This window comes from Homo sapiens, chromosome 19, assembly GCF_000001405.40.
Source record: "Homo sapiens chromosome 19, GRCh38.p14 Primary Assembly".
Taxonomy (NCBI): Eukaryota; Metazoa; Chordata; class Mammalia; order Primates; family Hominidae; genus Homo; species Homo sapiens.
Window position 1 is genome coordinate 52,452,367 of NC_000019.10, and position 23,459 is coordinate 52,475,825.

The 23,459-nt window shown below is 41.3% G+C and overlaps 1 protein-coding gene and 1 pseudogene across 4 annotated transcripts in view, besides 1 other annotated feature; one reads left to right on the forward strand and one right to left on the reverse strand.

Moving 5' to 3' along the window:
• Positions 629-1,828: an enhancer, noted in NCBI's record as "CDK7 strongly-dependent group 2 enhancer chr19:52956248-52957447 (GRCh37/hg19 assembly coordinates)". NCBI's record gives its function as "activates an origin of replication core promoter dependent on BRD2, BRD4, P300/CBP, MED14 and CDK7 cofactors, with strong dependence on CDK7, by STARR-seq in HCT116 cells {active_cell/tissue: HCT116}" and the evidence as "EXISTENCE:reporter gene assay evidence [ECO:0000049][PMID:35650434]".
• Positions 1,187-23,459, forward strand: part of ZNF578 (zinc finger protein 578) — a 63,330-nt gene continuing 41,057 nt past the window's right edge. For 3 of the 4 annotated variants that reach the window (NM_001099694.2, XM_047438189.1, XM_047438194.1), the window contains exons 1-2: positions 1,187-1,241; positions 4,502-4,592. The gene's annotated coding sequence lies outside the window, so the exon portion shown is untranslated. Of the gene's footprint in view, positions 1,242-4,310; positions 4,371-4,501; positions 4,593-23,459 lie in introns of all 4 variants that reach the window. The other variant, NM_001366182.2, reaches the window with a different exon arrangement.
• On the reverse strand, positions 21,515-22,101 carry LOC100419836 (zinc finger protein 347 pseudogene; annotated as a pseudogene).

Genomic DNA, 23,459 nt, shown 5'->3' on the forward strand with positions numbered 1-23,459 from the left:
CTCTTGTTGCCCAGGCTGGATGGCAATGGCCCGATCTCTGCTCACCGCACCTTCCAACTCCTGGGTTCAAGCAATTCTCCTGCCTCAGCCTCCCGAGTAACTGGGATTACAGGCATGCGCCACCACGCCCGGCTAATTTTGTATTTTTAGAAGACACAGGATTTCTCCATGTTGGTCAGGCTGGTCTCCAACTCCCAACCTCAGGTGATCCGCCCGCCTCGGCCTCGCAAAGTGCTGGGATTACAGGCGTGAGCCAACGTGCCTGGCCCTGTGTGTTTTATAAGAGAGACTGGGACTCACTCTGTTGCCCAGGCTAGTCTTGAACATTTAGCCTCAAGTGATCCTCCCATCTCAGCCTCCCAAAGTGCTAGGATTAGAAACATGAGCCAACACACCCAGCCAAAAATCGTCTTTTCTATTTACATTCAGAGTGCGTGTAAATTTGAAATTCACTCTACGTATCGAAATTATTGACATTATGATGTCAATAAAGTTTATCGCAGAGACGTTTGAGGTTAATTCATCTGAAGTTTGGAATAGAGTAACAGGTATAAGGGAGAGCTATTTATATCTATTGTTTAAAAGTTTAAGAGTCATTTATATCTATCATCTAAAAGTTTTAGCTTTCCTTTTTAAAAGCAACATTTGGTGACCTAACTTATCCCTGGCGTTAACCCTCCATGCCCAAGGCGTTGTCCCTGGGAAATTGTCAGGAGCTGAGCACAGGGTTGATCCTCACCCTCCAGAGTGTAGGGGGAATAGAAAAGGAGAGGATTTCTACTCTGTTCTGTGGGACGACAGCATCAAATTGCATGTTCCGCCCAGGCAGGGCTTTGCATTTCATATTCTAGTTCGCTTCCTCTCCCAGACAATTCCAGGGCTTTTAAATTAAAATACTAAAATTAACTTTAATTGCAGGAACTATCTTAGGTCCAATCACTGTCCCCTACTTTGACCCTCTCATAGAGATCCCAGGTCCCAGACTGCTTGGCTGCTGGTCACCGATAGGGTCTTTCCTCAAAAACCTGGAGAACAGACGCGCCCAGAGACAGGCCGAAGGCAGCGCAGACCCCGCCCCTCACCGCCCCACCCTCTCTTCTCTCGGGTCTCGCCCATCCCTGGCCTCAGCTGCGCGCGGTTTCCTGGAAACCCGGAAGTGAATCATGGGGCGTGAACTCGCAAGCGCAGTTTCCTGAAGACCCGGAAGCCGATCGCGTGGGGAGCCGGTCTTGGAGCAGCGGGTGAGTTTCCCTTTGTCTAGATTAGATCCGCTTCCAGCGCTTCTGTACCTGGTGTTGGCGGAGGGGTTCTTACGGATCTTAAAATCCTCCCGCCGTTCCCTCCATCCTAGGTATATTAATACGTCGCCAAGAAATTCGGAGGTTAAAATCGCTTGGAGGCTGCTGGTCCTTTCCCTGAGCTCTCTGCCTTCGGGCCACGTAGACGCTTTTCGTCCCGTTTACCTGCTTAAAACCCTTTACTGACCACTCCTTCGGTCCCGCGTCATGTAAAAGCCCTCACCCATGAGGTGTATTCACGCCCAGTGGGTCCTCCAAGCCTCGCCCTTCTGGCCTCTTGGAGCTCGGTCCCGCAGTCTCGATGCATCAGCGCCGTGTCCTCTGCCCGGCCCTGGGATTTTGGAAACCCCACCCCTCTCCTAATCCACCCCCAACCTTGTCCTCCTTGGGCTGGGCCCTTGTGTTCCCCAGGTTTCCCCTTCACAACCCACATTCCTTACCCCGCATTGAGGGAGGTGACGGGGCCTGGCTTTTGACACTCAGTGTTTTTCCGTTCCAAATTGCACCCGCTGGAAAATGTGCTCTTCCAGAGGAAAAACGATTGATTTATTCTTTCCTCCTCTGAAACTCAACACGGTAGTAAACACTGAACCCAGAATACTTCACTTGTGGTCACCGAATGTGTGGGGATTTCTCCCCACTAACAAGCAGTTCTCTATCAGACATCAACTCGGTGTCCCATAATTTACCTCACTTCTGACAGCTGTACCTGGTGTAAGCATCGGATCCCACAGATTAAAGGCTCAGTCCACAAGACTTCTCCACTTCAGATGTCGGTTACAAGTCCCAGATTGGAACCTGAACTTCTAAGCTACTGGATATAAATTGAGGATTCCCATGACCCAGTCTTCAGTATTTATTAATTTGCCAGAGTAGCTCACAGAACTCAGAAACGTTTTAGTTGGGTTTACTCATTTGTTTTAAAGGATATTACAAAGGTTGCAGATAGACAGATGGAATAGCAGTTCTAGAAAATTAGTTGAATGCAGGAGAGGATTTGGGAACCGTGGTGTTTATCTGGTCAGTCAGAAGTAGAGGTGAAAACTACTACTTGTGTACAGCTTCTAAGGTGAAGGGTAGTCTTGTGGGACTGAGCTTTTCACCCATGGGATCTGACACTATCTCCTTGTAGATAGTGTAAGAATTGAGTTAAATTTTAGGATTCCCAGGTGGAAGTCTGCAAGGAACTGGTCAGTGTAGGGAAACCACACATTTTCTTGACCAGAAGTAAAGTATCCTGTGTTGAGCACGAGAGCAATGAAAACAGTTTGGTTTTTTCCTGTCTCAGTGAAGGGAAGATATTTGTAACAGGCTCACTTACCTGTCTCAAGCCCCGTGCTTTCTACTCAGTATTGACTGGGAAGGATCTGTCCCTGCTCTTTGTTTTAATTTTCTTGATGTCATCTTCATCTCTTACCGTTTTTCTCTGCTGATGTGTCCTGACTCACTGTTTTCTGAATGTGGGAATGACCCACAGCTTAGTCCTCCAACCACTTTTCCTCTCTGTCCACGTCTACTGCCTTTCTATCTTTTTTTTTTTTTTTTTTTTTTTGAGATGGAGTTTTGCTCTTGTTGTCCAGGCTGGATTGCAATGGTGTGATCTTGGCTCACCGCAACCTCTGCCTGCCAGGTTCAAACGATTCTCCTGCCTCAACCTCCCGAGTAGCTGGGATTATAGGCATGTGCTACCACACCCAGCTACTTTTGTGTTTTTAGTAGAGATGGATTCTCCATGTTGGTCAGGCTGGTCTTGAACTCGTGACCTCGTGATCCACCCACCTCGGCCTCCCAAAGTGCTGGGATTACAGGCGTGAGCCACCACGCCCAGCCACTGCCTTTCTTTATCATTTCATCTCATGGTTTTAAACCCTACCTTTATGTCTCCATCCCTCATAGACCTCTCTCCTAATTTCTAGAATTCTGTGTCCAGTTGTCTCCTCAACTTTCTTCTGGGACATCCAACAGGCATCTCCATATTTACGTGTCCACTAGTGACTTCCTGAGTTCTCCGATGTATGCTCCCTTGCAGTCCTACCCATCTCAGATAAGGGTGACCCCATACTTCTGGGAGCTTAGGTGAACATATTGGCATATATTTAAAATCTAGGACATAGTTCCTTGTTTGAAAATGTTTTAGGGAATAATATAAAGAAAAAATTACATGATTGCTTAAAATGGGTGAGGAACTAGCATTTCCAAAATTCTTTTGAGTTGAGGGAGAAAAATGTTTAAAGGCCTCCACCCTATCTGATCTGCACCCCCAGGACCTCTCTGACCTCATCCGCTACCTGTGTCGGCCTTGCTCCCTCTGCTGTAGCTACACAGATCTCATTCCTTTTCCTGGAGCTGAGGTTGCTCCTGTCTCAGGACCTTCACCTGGGCTGTCCCTCTGCCTAGGACTCTTTAGCCCCTCAGTTGCAGGTGACAAACATCCTTCCTTTTCTAGGCCTGGGTTCTGATATCACCTTCTCAGTGAAGGTTTATGTGACCCTTCCCCTGTCACAACCTCACCTGCTCTGGCCCATATTGCCTCCCCTAGATGTTTCTTTCTGCTCTTTTGCTGTCCACTGTCTGGATCCTGGTGACAACAAGGACCCAAGGGGAGACCAGAGCCAGAAGATAGGGGTTGTTCTGGGCTTGCTCCCTCTGAGTTTAGCTCAACCCTGGATTCGCATTAGAATGCTGAGACATTTTGCAAATATATCTCTTGTGCCTCCTTTCCAGAGATTCCCATGCATGTAGGTTCAAGCGCAGTGTCCCACATGATTCTAATCTGTATTCATCATTGAACATCAGGGTGCTGTGTCTTCCATTTCTGAAAGCTGATATCGGCCTGTGATCCACAGAGAGGGGAGAGGCTGTGCTCTGCATGGGGTTTGGTCAGGGCCAGATCTGTGCCCTGAAGGGGAGCTCAGTCCAGCCCAGCACCCCACAGCTGCAGCATGTATGTGGGCTTCTCCAGGTGGGGAGTAAGCTTTGAAGAACTCAAAAACTGACTTGTTCTTCCTGTAGGACTTTCTTGTCTGCATCATCCCTGGTGCTGTGGGCAGCAGAGGGCCATCTTTCCACAGGGCGAGGTCTTTCCTGTGTATGTGGTTGTGGCACAGGGAGGGGGTGTGTTGATTTTGAGCAGTAAACAGCATATTTTGAACACTCAGGATTAACTTGTTTTTTAAAAAGTTTTCTTTTTCTTTTTCTTTCAGGATTAGCTTCTAAAGTCTCTTTCATCTCTCCTAAGGAAGAAGCCTAGAAGAGGAGGAAGAGGAAAGAAAAGGAGTCAGGAATGCCTCTTAGGTACAGTGATATTCTCAGTGGACTGTTGTGTGTCTCCTTCCTTTCTGAAATGCCATGTGTGGTGTTATGATATATATTGGTTTCCATCGACGGTTCCTGGCTTATAACCTCCATAGCCCTTGTTACAATCTTTTGTTGTAATGTTGGATGTGTTAAGCCTCAGGGGTAGGCCTCTGACCTTCTTTTGCCTTCCTTTCACTCTGATGCTCCCCAGCCTTTCTAATTGTGGGTCTTAAGACCCTCCTCCGAGAGCTTCCCACCCTGTACCCTGGGGGGAAGAATGTTGATGTCATGAAACTTCCATAAAAACCCAAAAGGGCAAAGTTCGATGAGCTTCTGGATGGCTGAACACGTGGAGGTTCTTGGAGGTAGTAAGCCCAGGGGCGTCATGGAAGCCCTGCACTCCTTCCTCCATACCTTGCTGTAGGTGCCTCTTCGTCTGTATCCTTTGCAGTATCCTTTATAATAAACTGGTAAAGGTAAGTAAGTGCTTCCCTGAGTTCTGTGAGCCAATCTAGCAAATTAATTGAAGAGGGGGTCGTGTGAACCCCAGTTTGAAGCTGGGTGGTCATAAGTTCTGAAGGCCTGGACTTGCGACTGGTGTGTATGGAGGCAATCTTGGAGACTGAGCCATCAACTCGTGGGATCTGACGTCTCCAGTCTTAATGTACACAGTAGATAGTGTTGGAATTAAACTGGAAGATACCCAGCTAGTGTCTGCTGCTTGGTGTGTGGGGAAAGTACCCACATACATTTAGTCACAGAGGTCTTCTATGTTGATGATTGTTGTGGTGTGAGAGTAGAGGAAAAGCACAATTTGAGGAGAGCTTTTCCCTGTACACATCAGGCATTGGAGATGTCAGTCTTCTCTGAGTCTGAAGCATGCTGCCTGTGATGTTTGCTCACACTCACCCATGTCTTCCCTCAGGCCCTCTGATGTCACTTAAATTCCATCTCACAGTGACTGGTGCTGTGGAATTTGTGAAGAGGCTCCATTGGGAAGGGCTTATACCCAGACATGGATGGAGACGGGGTGTGGGCCCCATGGTGTCACTGCTCTTGGGCAGCAGGAATTGAAGGATTGTTTAAGGGCCAGGTCTGGAGGCACTGCCAGCTCTGTAGACTGGATTATGGAAGCTGCTCGTGGAAGTCTTAATGTGCACAACTGCCTGATAAAATTTGGAAGAAGAGATTAGGAAGAGGAAATCTTTTCTGCCTGATTTTATACTCCATTTGTAGTAAATGTTTAACAGCAAGAGATTCTTTAAACCATTCTAAGTACATCCATCCTATGGAGATTGTGGTATTCCTGCAGAGACTCTTGTGAAACAGATGTTTCAGGTGAAAATGGTAAGACTTGGGTAATACTTCTTCTAGGATGGGGCATTTCCTATTTTCTTAGATCTCTCAAGGTTCCCCTGTTATCCCCAGCTGCAGGGGTACCTCTCCTATCAAGAACATGTGAAATTTTGCCCTCATTAAAAAAAAAACAACAACTTGCTACTATGTTTATATATATATATATTTTGAAAATCTGGGAAAAATGACAACCCTCTGTATTTTCATTTTTCAATTTATTGTCTACATAGGTTTTATTATTTTGGGGACATGTATATACAAAATGAATTTTCATGCTTTGCTCAATTTTCTTTCCATGTATTTTAGTATGTGTTTTAATTTCTGTGGTTTTTATTTCTTTCATATGCCCTGATGTCTTTTATTTCAGGTTATACATTTTTTAATTGTAAGACAAATCTTTCATTTATACCTTCTGATTTTTGTTGTGCCTTTGTTTGTTTCATCTTGATTTGGAAGGCCTTGCATGATTATGAAGTACTAAGTTTCATTTAGGAATAAAGTTTTGTTGTTTAAAATTTTGTTTACATTTGTGTTTAATTTGAATTTTTGCGTATATCATAAGTATTTGATTTGTTGTAAAATTACAGATGTTTGTCATAAGAGGTTCTTACATATTTGGAAAACCCCTCCATTTTGTTTTTCTTTTCAAAATTGTGATGGTTCTCCTTTCACAGGGCACAGTCATTAAAAACTCATATATTTCTTTTGTGTTTGAATGGCTGTGGATTCCTAGTCAGAGAGGTCTTTGTGTCACCACATCTGCTAATAAGAATTGGGTTTTCCGGTCCATGATGCTCTTTGTTATGTCTTTTAGTAAAGTTTATTTGCCTGTTTATAGTTCAGTAATGTTAAGTATGTTCACGTTACTGTGCAACATATCTAGAAGTTTTTCATCTCGCAAAACTGAAACTGTATACCCAGAATACACTATATCCCTTCTGACCTCACTATAGCCTCTGTCAACCCATCTTTCTATGTTGTTTATATGCATTTGACTACTTTAGTATCCCACGTGAGTGGAATCACATAGTATTTGTCCTTTTGTGACTGTCTTATTTTCCCTAGTGTAATGTCCTCAAGGTTCATCCGTGTTGTAGCATATGACAGGATTTTCTCCTTTTATAAAGCTGAATAATATTCCATTGCATGTGTATAACACATTTTCTTTATCCATTCATCTGTAGATAGGCATGTTGGTTTTTCTGTCTTCTTGGCTATTGTATATAATGCTGTGATGAGCAGGGATTTGCAAATATCTCTTTGAGGGCCTGCTTTCAAGTCTTTAATGTGTATGTACACACACACACACACACACACACACACACACACACACATATATATACTACCATATGATCCAGCAGTCTCACTTCTGGGTATGAGTGTGTATATGTAGATATGTGTGTGTGTGTGTGTGTGTGTGTGTGTGTGTGTGTGTATATATATATATATATATTTTTTTTTTTTTTTTTTTTTTTTGAGATGGAGTCTTACTCTGTCACCAGGCTGGAGTGCAGTGGTGCGATCTTGGCTCACTGCAACCTCTGCCTCCTAGGTTCAAGTGATTCTCCTGCCTCAGCCTTCCAAGTACTACAGGTGCGTGCCACCATGCCCAGCTAATTTTGTATTTTTATTAGAGACGGGGTTTCACCATGTTGGCCAGGATGGTCTCAATCTGTTGACCTCGTGATCCACCCACCTCAGCTTCCCAAAGTGCTGGGATTACAGGCATAGCCACCGTGCCTGGCCAGATGTATATTTTCAAATATGTACGTGTGTGTGTATATACACACACAAATATATATACGTGTGTGTATGTATATAGATGTATAAAATATCTACACACACCCATGCCCAGAAGTGGGATTGCTGGATTATATGGTAGTACTGTTTTTAATATTTTGAGGAACCCCCTTACTGACCTCAGTAATGGGTATACCATTTTACATTCTCACCAACTGTCCACAAATGTTCCAGTTTCTCAGCATCCTCTCCAACACTTTTTTTTTTTTTATTGATGATGGCCATCCTAATGGGTGTGAGGTGATACCTCATTGTAATGTTGATTGGCATTTGTGTTATGTTTGGTGGTGATGAGCATCTTATCATGTGCTTGTTGGCCATATTGTCATCTTCTTTAGAATAACATCTGTTCAGTTCCTTTGCCCATTCATTAATTGGGTTATTTATTTTTGGTGTTGAGTTGTAGAAGTTACTTGATAATCTATTAATGCCTATCAGATATGTGATTTGCAACTCTTCTCCCATTCCGTAGGTTTGCCTTTTCCTTCTTTTGATCGATTCCTTTGAAGTGCAAAAACTTTAAGTTGGATGTAGATCCTTTAGTGTTTTGCTTTTCTTGCGTGTGCTTTTGGTATTATATCCAGTAAATCCTTTCCAAAATCAGTGTCGTAAGGTTTTCTTCTATCCTAGTTTGTTACGTGTATTAATCTGGAAATGGTGTTGAATTGTTCCTAATGCTTTTTTTGCATCAATTGAGATGATGGCATTGTTTTTGTTCTGAATTATATTAATAGTAGTGATATAGTTTTTGTTGGGGACCAGCCTCAACACCACCCATTTTTTCTTTTTTAAAACCACCGTTGCTATCATGGCTTGTTCATGGTGTCTGGTCTCTCTCCAGAGGCATCTTCCCCATCTGCAGACTAAAAGCAAACAGCATAAACCGATACACATTAAAGTAAAATTTGCAATAGTTGATCCTCCAACGGTCCATTTAAGAGGATTCACATTTGAAAGTCCATCAGCAGCTCCAGCTAGGATGTCAATTCCAGGCAGGAGAGTGAAATGCGCCTGAGATGCTTCAAAAATGTGTTCCTTTCATTTGGCTATATCCAATGTTAAATTTCCATCCCTTCCTTCCAGATGATGTCTAACTTTTTCCCAATGATGTTCAGTAGCATTATGTGAATGGGGATTTACGCAGAAATCAGAAGTATTTCCAATCACATTACATTTGCAATAGATGCTCTAAGCTCATTATACAATCTCCCATCCATATTAACAGTCTGTCTAAGATCATTGATTTGCCAATTTTCTTTGGTCTGTTTGAGTCTGAGAATTCCACAATTTTGAGGAATTATTTTGCCAATTATTTACATATTCTGCAGTTTGAACAGAGGAATGTAAAGCAATTCCAGCAGCACTCCCCTTAACATTTCTGTGATGATATGAATGTAAGGAGAGGCTTCCCATGGTCTATTGAGGGAAACTGGTATCCAAACTCCTTCTCTGGCCCTTACCAGCAACACAGATGTTTTCACACAAAACGTGGAATCAATACGGGTGAAAAGGCAACAGTTTTGACATTTAATAATTTTAGAATTAGGTCATATATGAATATTTCTGACCATCAACATGAAAGGAGGCTTGACACAACTCTGAATGGATACTGTTCTGTTGGAAGAAAACTGATACACAAATTGAAGTGTCTCACCTTCTCCATCAAGATAGTATTTTCCTTCCAAACTCGAATATGAGATTGGGCCATCATTAACTTCCATAGTTCAGGGTGTTCAGGGCCTATTATTGGATTAATTATTTTTGGATGTGGTCCGGCTGTACCAAAATTGGTCCAAATTATGGGAAAATGAGCACACTTTTCAGTGTAAGTAGTGTCATCTCTTTGATAGTATAGATCCTGTTTTAGTTTTGTCTTTCATCTATCATTCTGATTGGTACAATTAACTGCAAAAGTCCTCTTAGGGGACCAATCAATGATGATTCCATAGGAATTATTTTGCAGTAGCACACCATGATCAGCAATGCAATCTTTCCAAATCAATATTTCTAAATCCTTTGACCATTGTTGAGATTGTTGACACCTCTCTTTTCTGGTCTTAAATTGTTCCAGTTGGACCGAACTCTGTGAATGAGCCAGGCTCCATCCAGAAAGTAAATGATAGGATACTGGTCTTTGATTATGACCTGAAGTCTTAACTAGCCAATGTTGTTGATAGCCTTTTAGGCAACCGATAGCTGGCCCTATGTAAAGAGGGGGGACTGATAACCCATGGACACATTTATTAACATTCCTTCCTCCTCTGGGTGAGAGGGCCCATGAGTATCTGTAGGCTCAGGCATCCAAACACTATTATTAACATAAACCTCAACTGGGGGTTCCAACAAAGTGACAGACCTAATTAAAGGCAGGAATGGGACATATGCCCAATAGGTATAATTTTGGTCTGCTGTAGTCACAGGGAGACTTACCGTCATAGCAATTACCGCAATCATAGCCACGATGAGGTTACTCGAGTTTAGTGGTTTTTGTTGTGCCTTCAGGTTTTCTTCTGCAAGCTGGGTCAGCCTCTTGATGTGTCCCAAGTCAGTGGGCTCACTTGACGGGTTTTGTTTGTCTTCATGTGGTCAGCTGAAATGTTCATTTGAGCCATCAAGGTGTGCTTGGGGGTTGAGATCTTGGTTCCAAAATCCTTTTCTTTGGAATTTTGCTCATGGTAGAGTTTAAGATGTTTTGTAGGTACCCAAACTGGAAGCTGGTTTTCTCCTGGGGAAATACAAGCAAACCCTCTTCCCCATGTTATAACTCTCCCTCTTTCCCAGGTCTTTGTTTTAAAGTCCTTCCACCACACAGGTTTTCCTTCATGAACATTTATCTTCTGTCTTGTTAAATGCTGCTCAGCTGCTGTAGTAACCTGATCCTGGGAGATGTTCAAAAAATTTAAGGTAACAAGAGCCAATTGTAATTGCATATGAGGGGTGGAATATTCCCTATCTCCCCCTATCTCCTGTTTATGTAATTGCATTTTTAAGGTTCGATTGGCTCGCTCAACAATCACTTGCCCTTGAGAATTATAGGGGATACTTGTACTGTGTTTAATGCTCCACTACAGTAGCCTGTCCATTGTCTGTTTTTAATTTTTTTGGAATTCCCATGACAGCAAAACAGGAAACCAAACGTCTTTTTATATGTGCTGCAGTCTCACCAGTTTGGCAAGTAGCCCATATAAAATGAGAATATGTATCTCTGGTTACATGGACATAAGAAAGTTTGCCAAATGTAGGAACGTGGGTGATGTCCATTTGCCAGATCTTGTCAGGTGCCAACCTTTGAGGCTTAACACCAGTTCTTTGATGTGGTAATTGCCTGGCACTGAGGTAAGTCAAAATTTGGGGCATCAGTCAGTGAGGGGGAAACCAACAAGTCAGCTTGCTGATTAGCCTTAGTCAAGGGTCCTGGAAGATTGGTATGTGCTAGGACATGAGTTATATAGAAAAGAAATTCCCAGGCATGCACAACTGCTTGTACAGAGTTGAACAATTGATAAAGCTGTTCATCAATAATATATTTAATTAAGGCAGTTTTAATATGCAGAGTAGCTTACACAACATAAGCTGAATCTGAAACAATATTAACTGGCTGATTAAAATCTTCTAATACTGTAATCACCACCTGTAATTTAGCTGTTTGGGCTGAGGAAAAGTTAGTATGGATAACTTTATCACAAGGTCCCACATATGCCATTTTCCCAGTACTGTAGCCATCAGTAAAAGTAGTCACAGCTTCTTCCAAAGGGGCATCCTGAGTAATTTTTGGAAGAATCCATGTAGTTAATTTTAAGAACTGGAAAGTTTTATTTTTAGGATAATGATTATCAATACATCCAACAAATTCCGCTAAATTAACTTGCCATGTAACTGAGTTAATAAATGCCTGTTTAATTTGATTTTTATTCATTGGAACTATAATTTTATTGGGCTCAGTGCCACAAAGTTTAACAATTCATATACCAGCCTGTCCGGTTAAAATTGCCATCTGATCTAAATATACTGTAAGTGTTTTTATGGTATTATGTGGCAAAAAGGACCATTCAACTAAATCATCATTTTGAATAATAATCACCATTAGGGAGTGCAAAGTAGGGAAGACAATGAATTGTAGAGGCAAGTCTGAGTCAATCCTAATGACTTGGGCTTGCTGAATTTTTTCTTCAATTACTCTTAACTTTTTCATGGCCTCGGGTGTTAGTCCTCTTTTACTGTGTAAGCCGGAATCTCCCCTCAATACTGAGAAGAGATTAGACATAGCATAAGTAGCAATTCCTAAGGTGGGCCAAGTACAATAAATATCTCCTAACAATTTTTGAAAATCATTTCAAAATGATTTTTATTTCAAAAAGGTTTTTAAAGAATTTTTTCTAATTTGAACCTTTTGCGGCTTAATGGCTCTATCCTGTACTTGCATCCCCAAATACTGAAAAGGAGTCATTGTTTGAATTTTGTCAGGTGCTATAAGCAATCCAGCGTTTGTAATTGCCTTTTGTAAAGATGAATAACATTGAATAAGTTGTTCTCTATTTTTTGCTGCACAGAGTATGTCATCCATGTAATGGATGATGTAACAATCTGGAAATTGATCTCTAACAGGCTGGATACCTCTGCCCACAAAAGTTTGACAAACTGTGTGACTGTTTAACATATCCTGGGATAAAACCTTCCAAGGATATCTGGCTGCAGATTCTTTGTTATTAACAGCAAGGATGGTAAAGGAAATTTTTTCAAAATCTGCCTCTGCTAAAGGAATTGTAAAAAAGCAGTCTTTTTAAATCTATAATAACAAGCAGCCCGTCTTTAGGGATCATGGTGGGGGATGGGAGCCCAGGTTGTAAAGCTCTCATCGGTTGAATTACAGCTTTGACCCCTCACAAGTCAGTCAGCATGCGCCATCTGCCGGACTTTGTCTTAATTACAAATATTGGGGAATTCCAAGGAAAGTGGGTGAAACATGGCCTTTTTCTAGTAGTTCTTTAACTATTTCATGAAATTCCCCCAACTGTTCCTTGCAGAGCGGCCACTGTTTGACCCAGACAGTAGTAAACTGCAGGGCGAGCCTGAATTGCCCCCTCCCCATAATGAACTGCGGGGCAGGTAATAATTGGCACGGAGAGCCGAGTCTCGGTGAGCCGAGTATCGGGCTCCCTCCCCCACCACTCACTGGGTTGAGGAGGTGGTGGCCATTCTGGGCATTCCTCTGGAGAAGCCGTGGGCTGAACAACTTTCTGAGTAGGTTTAGGGAAACTGGAGGGGATTGGCATAAATCACCTCTGGACTCTCCTTTTGGCTAGTACTTGGTAGAGGCGGTTCAGAGTTCTGATTATCAAACTCCTCTCTCTCCTCCTCTGACTCAGCCTCATCGTCTGTCTGAAAAGGCTCCAGTGCTGCACGCACCAATGACCAAACTGACCAAACAGGAAAAGGAATTTCCTTTCCTTCTCCCTTTGTTCTTTTAAGGTCCTTTCCAACTCTTTCCCAGTCTTTCAATTCCAAAGTTCCCTCTTTAGGCAACCAAGGACAAAACTGTTCCACAGCATGAAACAAATCCGTAAGATTTTCCTTATCAACTTTTACCCCACTATGCTTCAAGCGTTGCTGTAGCAAGCTCAAATACGTGGCGTACTTATATTCAGTTTGTCCCATTTGTGTCCCTGGCTTTCTCTGAGTGCCTCGCTTACCTGCAGAGCTTAAAAACTTTTTCATCCTCAGGAGTCCTCCATCCGTCGGCCCTCCGTTTCACACGCTTGAGCGTTCCTTTACCAGATTCTCTCGGGCCCCATGGTTGGGTGCCAAGCTGTTGGGGACCAGCCTCAACACCACCCTTAGGGTACTCAAAGTCCAATGGTGACAAAGGAATGAGAAGAGACAAGTTAAGAGTGCATAAAGGTGGGGGCCACGGGGCCAGATTCAAGGTAGGAGCCTGCAAAAGGCCCTGATCTCTGGTCTCCACACTATTGTGTACAATCACTTAGATCTGAGAAGCAGATGTTGAGGGGTGAAACGATGAAAGGGAGGTGATGTGTCATACACCTAATCTATAGCAGTGGCGGTTTAGGTAAATTTTCTTTGTGCTGAAGCAGCATAAACTTTACTACTGATTTATTCTTTAACTTATCAGAGAGCAGCTGTGGGGAGTGGGCTTAACTAGGAGCCAGCAAGTCTGGCCACATTCCATTGCTTCAAAGGAGTGTCTTTCTCCTTGAACACAATGTTTACAGATAAGAGAGCAGGTCTTGCTCAGAGCATGCGAACATTATGGCAATTAGGAGGCTTTCCTCCTCAGAGGCCTCTTGTGGCTTTCTGCAACTTATTGTCCCATATTTTTATGGCCAGTTTATACAGGCACCCCGTAAGCCCTTTCCCCAACAGTTTTCTCTATGTTTTTTAATGTTTATACCATTTTTTACTAGCTTAAAATAGAAAAATGTTGATGAACTAAATGTTGATGAACAGTTGATACATTTCATTGTTCCATACATGCTGAAATGGACACAAACAAAAATGGCGATTTTTAAGAAGTTGTTGAAAAACTCACTTGTGGACAACTGTTATATAAGTTAATTTAATCGTGTGTATATGTATGTCTACATGAGTGCATGGATGAGCAAGCCCATGGCTCTTATGAAACACTCATCATAATTTAATCAATAAGTTTTATATTTAACACTTGAAATTATCTCTACAGTAGTTTCCATGGCCTTAAATTTTTCCTACACTGTCACACTGAGTTAAACAATAGTAAGCATAGTGCTGTAGTATGTGTTTGCATGTGTGTATACATAATGTGTGCATATATAATCAATATATAATACCCTTTCATGAAGTTCCATGTTGTTATCCTTGAACTCATTTCACGTTTTCCCAGGCAACCCTCTCTTGATTAATTTTTTTTTTTTTTTGAGACAGAGTCTCGCTCTGTTGCCCAGGCTGGAGTGCAGTAGAACAGTTTTGGCTCACTGCAACCTCTGCCTCCTGGGTTCAAGTGATTCTTCTGCCTCAGCCTCCCAAATAGCTGGGATTATAGGTGCATGACACCACACCTGGTTAATTTTTGTATTTTTAGTTGAGACGGGGTTTTGCCATGTTGGCCAGGTTGGTCTCGAACTCTTGACCTCAAGTGATCTGCTGGCCTCAGCCTCCCAAAATGCTGACTGTGATTACAGGCATGAACCACCACACCTCAATTTACTTTTGTAGATCATATCTGTTAGTAACTTGTTGAGCCCGGGAGGTGGAGGTTGTGGTGAGCTGAGATCGCACCACTGCACTCCAGCCTGGGCAACAAGAGCAAAGCACTATCTCAAAAAAAATAAAATAAAATAAAATAAATAAAAAATTTAGCTGAGCGTGGTGGCACAAACCTGTAGTCCCACCTGCTTGGGAGGCGGAGGTGGGAAGATCACTTGAGGGCAGTCAGTTGAGATGGCAGTGAGCATGATCAAACCACTGCATTCCAGCCTGTGGGAAACAGAGTGAGACCCCAGCTCTTAAAAAAGAAAAAAAAAGAAAGAAAGAAAACAAACTACAAAATGCTGACGAAAGAAATCAAAGGCACTCAAATGGAGACATATACAATGTCAATTTATTGGAAGACTCAGCATAGAAACAATGTGAAATTAACCAAATTGATATACAACATTAATACATTTCCTATCAAGGTGTTTTGTGGATACTAACAAGATTATCCAAAAAATTATGTAGAAAGGCAAAAAAAGATAGAATGCCTAAAACATCTGGGAAAAAAAATAAAAAGGTTGGAATCATTTCATGTGATTTCAAGTCTTCTAATATAGTATAAGTATTTCCTTCTTTTTTTCATATTTACAATAAACCTAGTTTATACCTGCCGTGATCTTATGTGCATACTCATGCATATTTTTTTTCTCCAAATAACAGCTTCATTTATGTGCCCCCTAAACTTTTCACTATAGTAACAAAGGGAAGAAATGCATGAAACATAGAATGTAGACTGCAACATATGGAAAAGGAAACTTTTTAAAATTGTGTACAAAAACAAAAAATAATTTTATTACAATTAAAGAACCAGAGAACATTTTGCTTAATACCATAATCAAAAATGACATTTCTGTAGCTTTTGGAAAAATGCTCTTCTAGTAGAGTCCTATTTATTATATATAACAATTAGATAATGATAAATTATATTATGTAAATAAACACTTCACAATAATTTTCACTGAACTGATATGAAAAATATCTTAGGCAATTTTACTAAACAGTATTTCACAAGCATTTTCAACAGTCATATTGTGCAATGGGACCTATGTGTCCAGCCACAAGAGGAATGTAATAAGCTATTACCATGAAGAAAATTGAAGTCTCTCCTAACCAAGTCTGGAGTTTCAAGAGTAAACATTCAGTGTTATCCTAAAGAGTTAGACTTCATTTTGTGATGTCTGAGTAATGTGATGGTTAATATTAGGTGTCAACTTGAGTGAGTTGAAGGATATCTAGATGGCTGATAAAGTATTGTTTCTGGGTGTGTCTGTGAGGGTGTTGCCGAGGAGATTGACATTTGAGTCAGTGGACTAGGAGAGGAAGACCCACCCTCAGTGTGAGTGGGCACCATCCGATTGGCTGCCAGTGTGGCTAGAACAAAGCAGGTGGAAGAAGGTGGGATAACCTTGCTTGCTGAGTCTTCTGGTTCTCTTTCTTCTTCCCATGCTGGATGCTTGTTTATGCTTCTCCTGCCCTTGGACATCAGATTATAGGTTCTTCAGCCTTTGGACTCTGGGACTTGAACCAGCAGCTTCCTGGGATATCTCGAGCCTTTGGTCACAGACTGAAGGTTGCATCATTGGCTTCCTTGGTTTTGAGGTTTTCAGACTTGGACTGAGCCACTACCAGCTTCTCTCTTCTCCAGCTTGCATACAGCCTATCATGGGACCTTTGCCTTGTAATTGTGTGAACCAATTCTCCCTAATAAACTCCCTTTTATATATACATGTATCCCATTTGTTCTGTACCTATAGAGAACCCTGACTAATACAGACTTTGGTACCTGGAGTGGTTTTTTTTTGTTTTTTTTTTTTTGACAGGGTCTCACTCTTTTGCCCAGGCTGGAGTGCAGTGGTGCAATCTTGGCTCACTGCAACCTCCACCTCTGAGGTTCAAGCCATCCTCCTGCCTCAGCTCCCCAGGCAGCTGGGACTACAGGTGTGCACCACCATACCTGGCTAATTTTTGCATTTTTTGTATGATGTGGTTTTGCCATGCTTCCCAGGCTGATCTCGAACTCCCGAGCTCAAGTAATCCACCTGCCTTGGCCTCCCAAAGTACTGGGAATACAGGTGTGAGCCACTGTGTCCAGCCTAGAGGAACAAAATTTTAAGGATGAATTTCCTTAGTTGGTTTAGGGGCTTCTGGAGTTGGCTCTCTAATCTTATTACAACTAAAAATGCTAAGGTCTCTACTTCTAATAGTACAGAGAACACTGATAGTCCTTGGTATGCATTGTTCAGAGACTTGTGCAAAATAAATGTATTTGATACTCATGATTCAGTGCTCCTGAGAGGCAAGGAGTTTAGTGACTTTATACATGATACTTTTCAACATTTCTGGAGAACCAAAGAACATAATGAAGTTGCTTTCCTAAGTTCCCTGGTAAAAAATGATGAAAGAAATGGATAAGCTCAGAGATGATACCTCCCAGATCTAGAATATATCATACTTAGCCTCAAAGCTTCTAAGGGTACCCTGGGTGCGACTGTTTTGTAGACAAAAGGCTGAAATTGCCAAAAATCAGACACAAGCTCTTATGTGAGTGGATGACCTACAATAATTGGTGCACACTCAGCCTCACCAGGTATCTATAAAGTAAGGGCATTGATTGGGAAAGATTGGGAGCATGTAACTTGACATGGGGATGTGTGGGAGGATCCTGATGAAGCTGGGAACACTGAGCTCTTAAACCCTGATGAGCCCTTTTTGCGAGAGAAAATGGCCTCCCTACCCCTCATGGTGGCAACATCTTCTTCCCCACCAAGGCTGCTTTCAGCCTTTGTACCTTTTTTCTGAGGACATTCACCATGCATTGCCTGAGGAAACAACAATGGCCTCCTCTGAGGCAGATGCGAGGCAAGGCAATGCTGATTCTTCTCAGGATCCTCCCCCACCACCCTTCTTTGCCTCTAGACCTGTAACTAGACTCAAGTCCCAGTGGCTGCTAGAGGTGATGTGACCCGTGAGGAGGTGCGCTGCACTCCAAAAGAACTGCTGAGGCATAATTATGACATTATTGTCTATATTTGGAGATTATGATTTAAGGAGATGTGTATGGGTGCCAAGTTGATGAGGGGTAGACTTGTGGTTAATCTTGGTTGTCAGTTTGATTGGATTGAGGGATGCCTAGATGGTTCATAAAGTATTGTTTCTGGATATGTCAGTGAGTGTATTGCTAAAGGAGATTGACATTGGAGTCAGTAAACTGGGAGAGGAAGGCCCACCCTCAGTGTGGGTGGGCACCATCCAGTTGACTGCCAGACGGCTAGAACAAAACAGGCAAAAGGTAGAATAAATTGACTTGCTGGGTCTTCTGGCTCTTTCTTCTTTCTATGCTGGACGCTTGCTTACACTCCTCCTGCCCTTGGAAATCAGACTCCAGGTTCTTTGGCCTTCGGACTCTGAGGCTTGCACTAGTGGCTTCCCAAGGGCTTCCAGGCTTTTAGCCATAGACTGAAAGCCTAATATGGATTGGATCTATGTCCCTATCCAAAACTCATGTTGAACTGTAATCCCCAGTGCTGAAAGTGGGGCCTGGTGGGAGGTGATTTGATCATGGAGGGCATTTCATGTGGTTTGACACCATCTTCCTCTTTGTGCTACCATTGCAATAGTGAGTTCTTGTGAGATCTGGTTGTTTAAACATGTGTGGCACCTACCCCCACCCACTTCCTCCTGTTCTGGCCATGTGAAGTGCCTGCTCTTACTTCACCTTCCTTCATGATTTTAAGTTTCCTAAGGCCTCCCTAGAAGTCAGAGAGATGCTGGCATTATGCTTCCGGCACACCCTGCAGAACTGTGAGCCAATTAAACCTCTTTTCTTTATAAATTACCCAGTGTTAGATATTTCTTTATAGCAATGTGAGAATGGACTAATACAAGGCTGTAATACTGTTGGCTTCCCTGGTTCAGAGACTTTTGGATTTTAACTGAGCGACTACCAGCTTTTCTCTTCCCTGGTTTGCAGAGAGCCTATTGTGGAACTTAACTTTACAATTGTATGAGCCGGTTCTCCCTAATAAACTCCCTTTTATATATACACAGATCCTATTAGTTCTGTTTCTCTGTAGAACCCTAATACAATTACTAACACATTTTACACCTCTGCACTCCCTCTTTGTATTCTGCCCATCTTGTCAAGCTGATAATAAAGCCTGAGTGCCCCCTCCTTTTGCACCAGCTGGAAGTTCAAACCACAAGTGGGTACTCCAACCCCAGCCCTATCCTTTAACAATCATGGTACCCCAAGCCAGTCATCTATTCCAGTTCTCTGAAGCTGCATTTGAACCAGCTAGAGAAGTCTACCCTGCTTTCTCCATAAAGCCTCATTATGTAATAAACATTTTCAGGCCATTTGAGTGTATGGCATCATCATTATCAATATCCAAACCAAACCTCAGGTAGACTTTAGACAAGTTCCAGTACAGTGGGCAAAAGTTAAAATTACCAAAAAAAAGGTATGAAGGTGAATATATGAAATTTCTAGTCAGTCTGCCAAAAGAAAACAATACTCATTTTGTGTGTTCATTCTTGAGAAAATGTATGAAGATTAGTATTTTCAGATTAATGTCACTAATACGAAAAAGACATTATTACAGTATTTTTACCCTTAACCTCATACCTTTTTACATCTTATTTTTCATATTACTATATTGGTATACTTCATATAAATGAAAGTGCATGCCATGGGTCTTATTTGGCATACACACAAAAAGGCACATAGAAATATAATAATATGGTGGCCAGGCACAGTGACTCATGCCTGTATTCCCAGCACTTTGGGAGGCTAAGGCGGGTAGATCACCTGAGGCCATGAGTTCGAGACCAGCCTGCCCAACATGGTGAGAACCCTAATGGTGCATTATTATTGTCTGCTATAAAGTATCTTCCTGTGGTGGGATAAAACAGTGTTGGTAGACATAACATGATTCATTCATACTTAAGAAAATTTAAACTTTATTACATAAAACATGAGAACTATGCACATTCTAAATCAAAGTTGCACATTATATTACCAACAGTTAAATGTGAATTCTATTCAAGAACATGCTATATTGGCAGTTTTCATTAAACTCTCTACTCTGATATAACTGTTCTCTCTTCCATTTCAAAAATAAGACTATAGTTCATCAATTTTTGCTAAACAACAGCTATTGCTATTCAGTTGAGGAGGTGGCCATCATTTCCCCTGGATGATTTCTATGGCATAATCAGTCCCTAAGAACCCATTACTCTTTTCCATAAAAATCCTATTTTCCTAAGGCCATGGCATGCTCTATTTTGAGGTTATTTGGTAGAGCATAGAAGCACTAAGCCATTCTGTAAGGAAAAGGATACATTGAACACAATAAGTATAATGACTGGCATCATAGTTTTACATTATTCTCTGCTCACCTCCATGCCATGAAAAGATTTCAAAGTTCAGGCTAAAGTCATAAAGAGTAAAGAAGCCTTTTCAAAAAACCTCCCAAATAATTTTTTAAAAAATTATAAGCTGAATATAACTGATCATTTCCACATGCCGTTGAACCTTTGGTACACATCATGTCATGAGGATAAACATATTTTGTTGTATAATATTTCTTCAGCATGCAATGTCATACATTAATATAAGAGAACCAGAGACTGAGTTATTTCTTGCATAAGTCTTCTGATGTACTCTAGTAATATTCCTTGAGTTATAGCCTCAGCATACAAAATCTATCTGTGAGGTATTTTCAAAGATATATCTTTTGATGTCTAGTGATGTGGCAGGCCTCGACAAAGCCTGTGTCTTGTACACTACATTTACATGGTTTCTCTTTACTATGGACTCTGATGTTGATTAACGCTCATGATGAAAAGTTTGCCATACTCGGTTTGTAATGACTGTCTCATGAATTAATTATCTGATGCGGTGTAAGTTGTGATTTGTGACTAAAGACCTTACCACATACATGGCATTTGTAATGTTTCTCTTCAGTATGGATTCTGTGATGATATGCAAGATGTGAAATCTGAGTGAAGACCTTACCACACTCATTATATTTGTAAGGTTTCTCTCCAGAATGGACTCTGTAATAACTTGTAAGGTGGAACTTTTGTCTAAAAACCTAGTCTCACTCACTACATTTTTAAGGTTTCTGTGCATTATGGATTATTTTATGAAAGGCAAGGCTTGAATGCACACTAAATGCTTAGCTATATTAATTACATTTGTAAGATTTCTCTCCAGTATGAACTATCTGATGTTTTGCAAGGTGTGAAATTTGATTAAAGGCTCTGCCACATTCGTTACATTTATGTCTCTCTCCAGTATGAATTCTCTGATGAATTGTTAAGGAGAACTTGTTCCTGAAGTCCTTATCACATTCCTTACATGTATAAGGTTTCCTTCCAATGTGGATTAACAGATGGGCAGTGAGGCTTGAATGCCCACCAAATTCTTTGGCACATTTATTGCATTTGTAAAGTTTCTCTCCTGTATGAATTCTCCAACATTGTGCTAGGTATGAATAGCTACTATAGACCTTGCCACATTCATTACATCTATAAGGTTTCTCTTCCATATGAATTATCCAGTGTTCTGTAAAGTGTGAATTGTGACTAAAGATCTTACCACATTCATTACTTTTGTAAGGTTTCTCTCCAGTATGAGTTCTCCAATGTCGTGCAAGGTGTGCAATTTGATTGAAGACCTTGCCACATTCATTACATTTGTAAGGCCTCTCTCCAGTATGAATTCTCTGATGATTGCTTAGGGATAAACTATGCCTGAAGACCTTGCCACGTTCATGACATTTGTAAGGTTTCTTTCCACTATGAATTAGAAGATGGGCAATAAGGCCTGAATAGTCACTAAATGCTTTGCCACATTCAATATATTTGTAACACTTCTCTCCAGTATGAATTCTTCGATGTCATACAAGGTATGAAAGTTGACTAAAAACTTTGCCACATTCATTACATTTGTAAGGCTTTTCTCTGGTATGAATTATCCAATGTTCTATAAAGTGTGAACTGTGAGTAAAGACCTTGTAACATTCATTACATTTGTAAGGTTTCTCTCCAGTAAGAAATAACTCAGTCTCGGGCTAAAAACTTTGCCACATTCATTACATTTGTAAGGCTTCTCTCCAGTATGAATTATCCAATGTTCTGCAAGGTGTGAACTCTGAGTAAAGACCTTGTAACATTCATTACATTTGTAAGGTTTCTCTCCAGTATGAATTCTCTGATGTCATGCAAGGTATGAATTATTCCTGAAGACTTTACCACACTCATTACATTTGTAAGGTTTCTCTCCAGTATGAATTCTCTGATGATTGATAAGGGATAACTCATACCTGAAGACTTTGCCAAATTTTTTTACATTTGTAAGGTTCTCTCCAGTATGAATTACAAGATGGGCAGTGAGGTCTAACCACTCGTTAAATATTTTGCCACATTCATTATGTTTCTGAGACTTTCTCCAGTATGAATTCTTCGATGTTGTGCAAGGTTTGAATTGCAACTAAAGAACTTGCCGCATTCATTACATTTGTAAGGTTTCTGTCCTGTATTCACTCACTAATACTCTGTAAGGTGTGAATTGCGACTAAAGACTTTGCCACATTCCATACATTTGTAAGGTTTCTCTCCAGTATGAATTCTCAGATGTTCTGCAAGATGTGAATTGCGATTAAAGACCTTGCACATTCATTACGTTTGTAAGATTTCTCTCCTATATGAATTCTGTGATGTTGTACAATGTATGAATTTTTCCTAAAGACTTTACCACACTCATTACATTTGTAAAGTTTATCTGGATCCAGGATTATGTCATGGTTACCAAGGCTTGAAGACACTCTAAAGACTTTGCCATGCTCATTACATTCATAAGATTTTTCCCTAATGTGTGTTTTCTGTTCTTGTGGGAGCAATGGAGAATCAAAAAAATCACCACTTACATTTATTAACGTGAGTTTTCACACCAGAAGAAATTTTTTCTTTCTTTTCTTTCTTTCTTTTTTTTTTTTTTTTGAGACAGAGTCTTTCTCTGTCGCCCAGGCTGGAGTGCAGTGGAGTGCAGTGATCTCTGCTCACTGCAACCTCCACCTCCTGGGTTCAAGCAGTTCTCCTGCCTCAGCCTCCTGAGTAGCTGAGATTACAGGCGCCAGCCACCACGCCCAGCTAATTTTTTTGTATTTTTAGTAGAGACGGGGTTTCACCATGTTGGTCAGGCTGGTCTCGAACCTCTGATCTCATGATCCACCCGCCTCGGCATCTCAAAGTGCTGGGATTATAGGCGTGAGCCACCGCGCCTGGCTGAGTGCAGCCAATTAATATCCCCTAATAGCTGTTGAAAATAATTTGAAGTCTGTAACCTGTCTTTACAGAGAACTACTTTCTGAGGCTGTACACTTCTTTCAGTAACAATAGTGCCTGCGTAATGGTATGGGGAAATTGTACCTTTTCTGGAGCTATTTTGAGATTCCA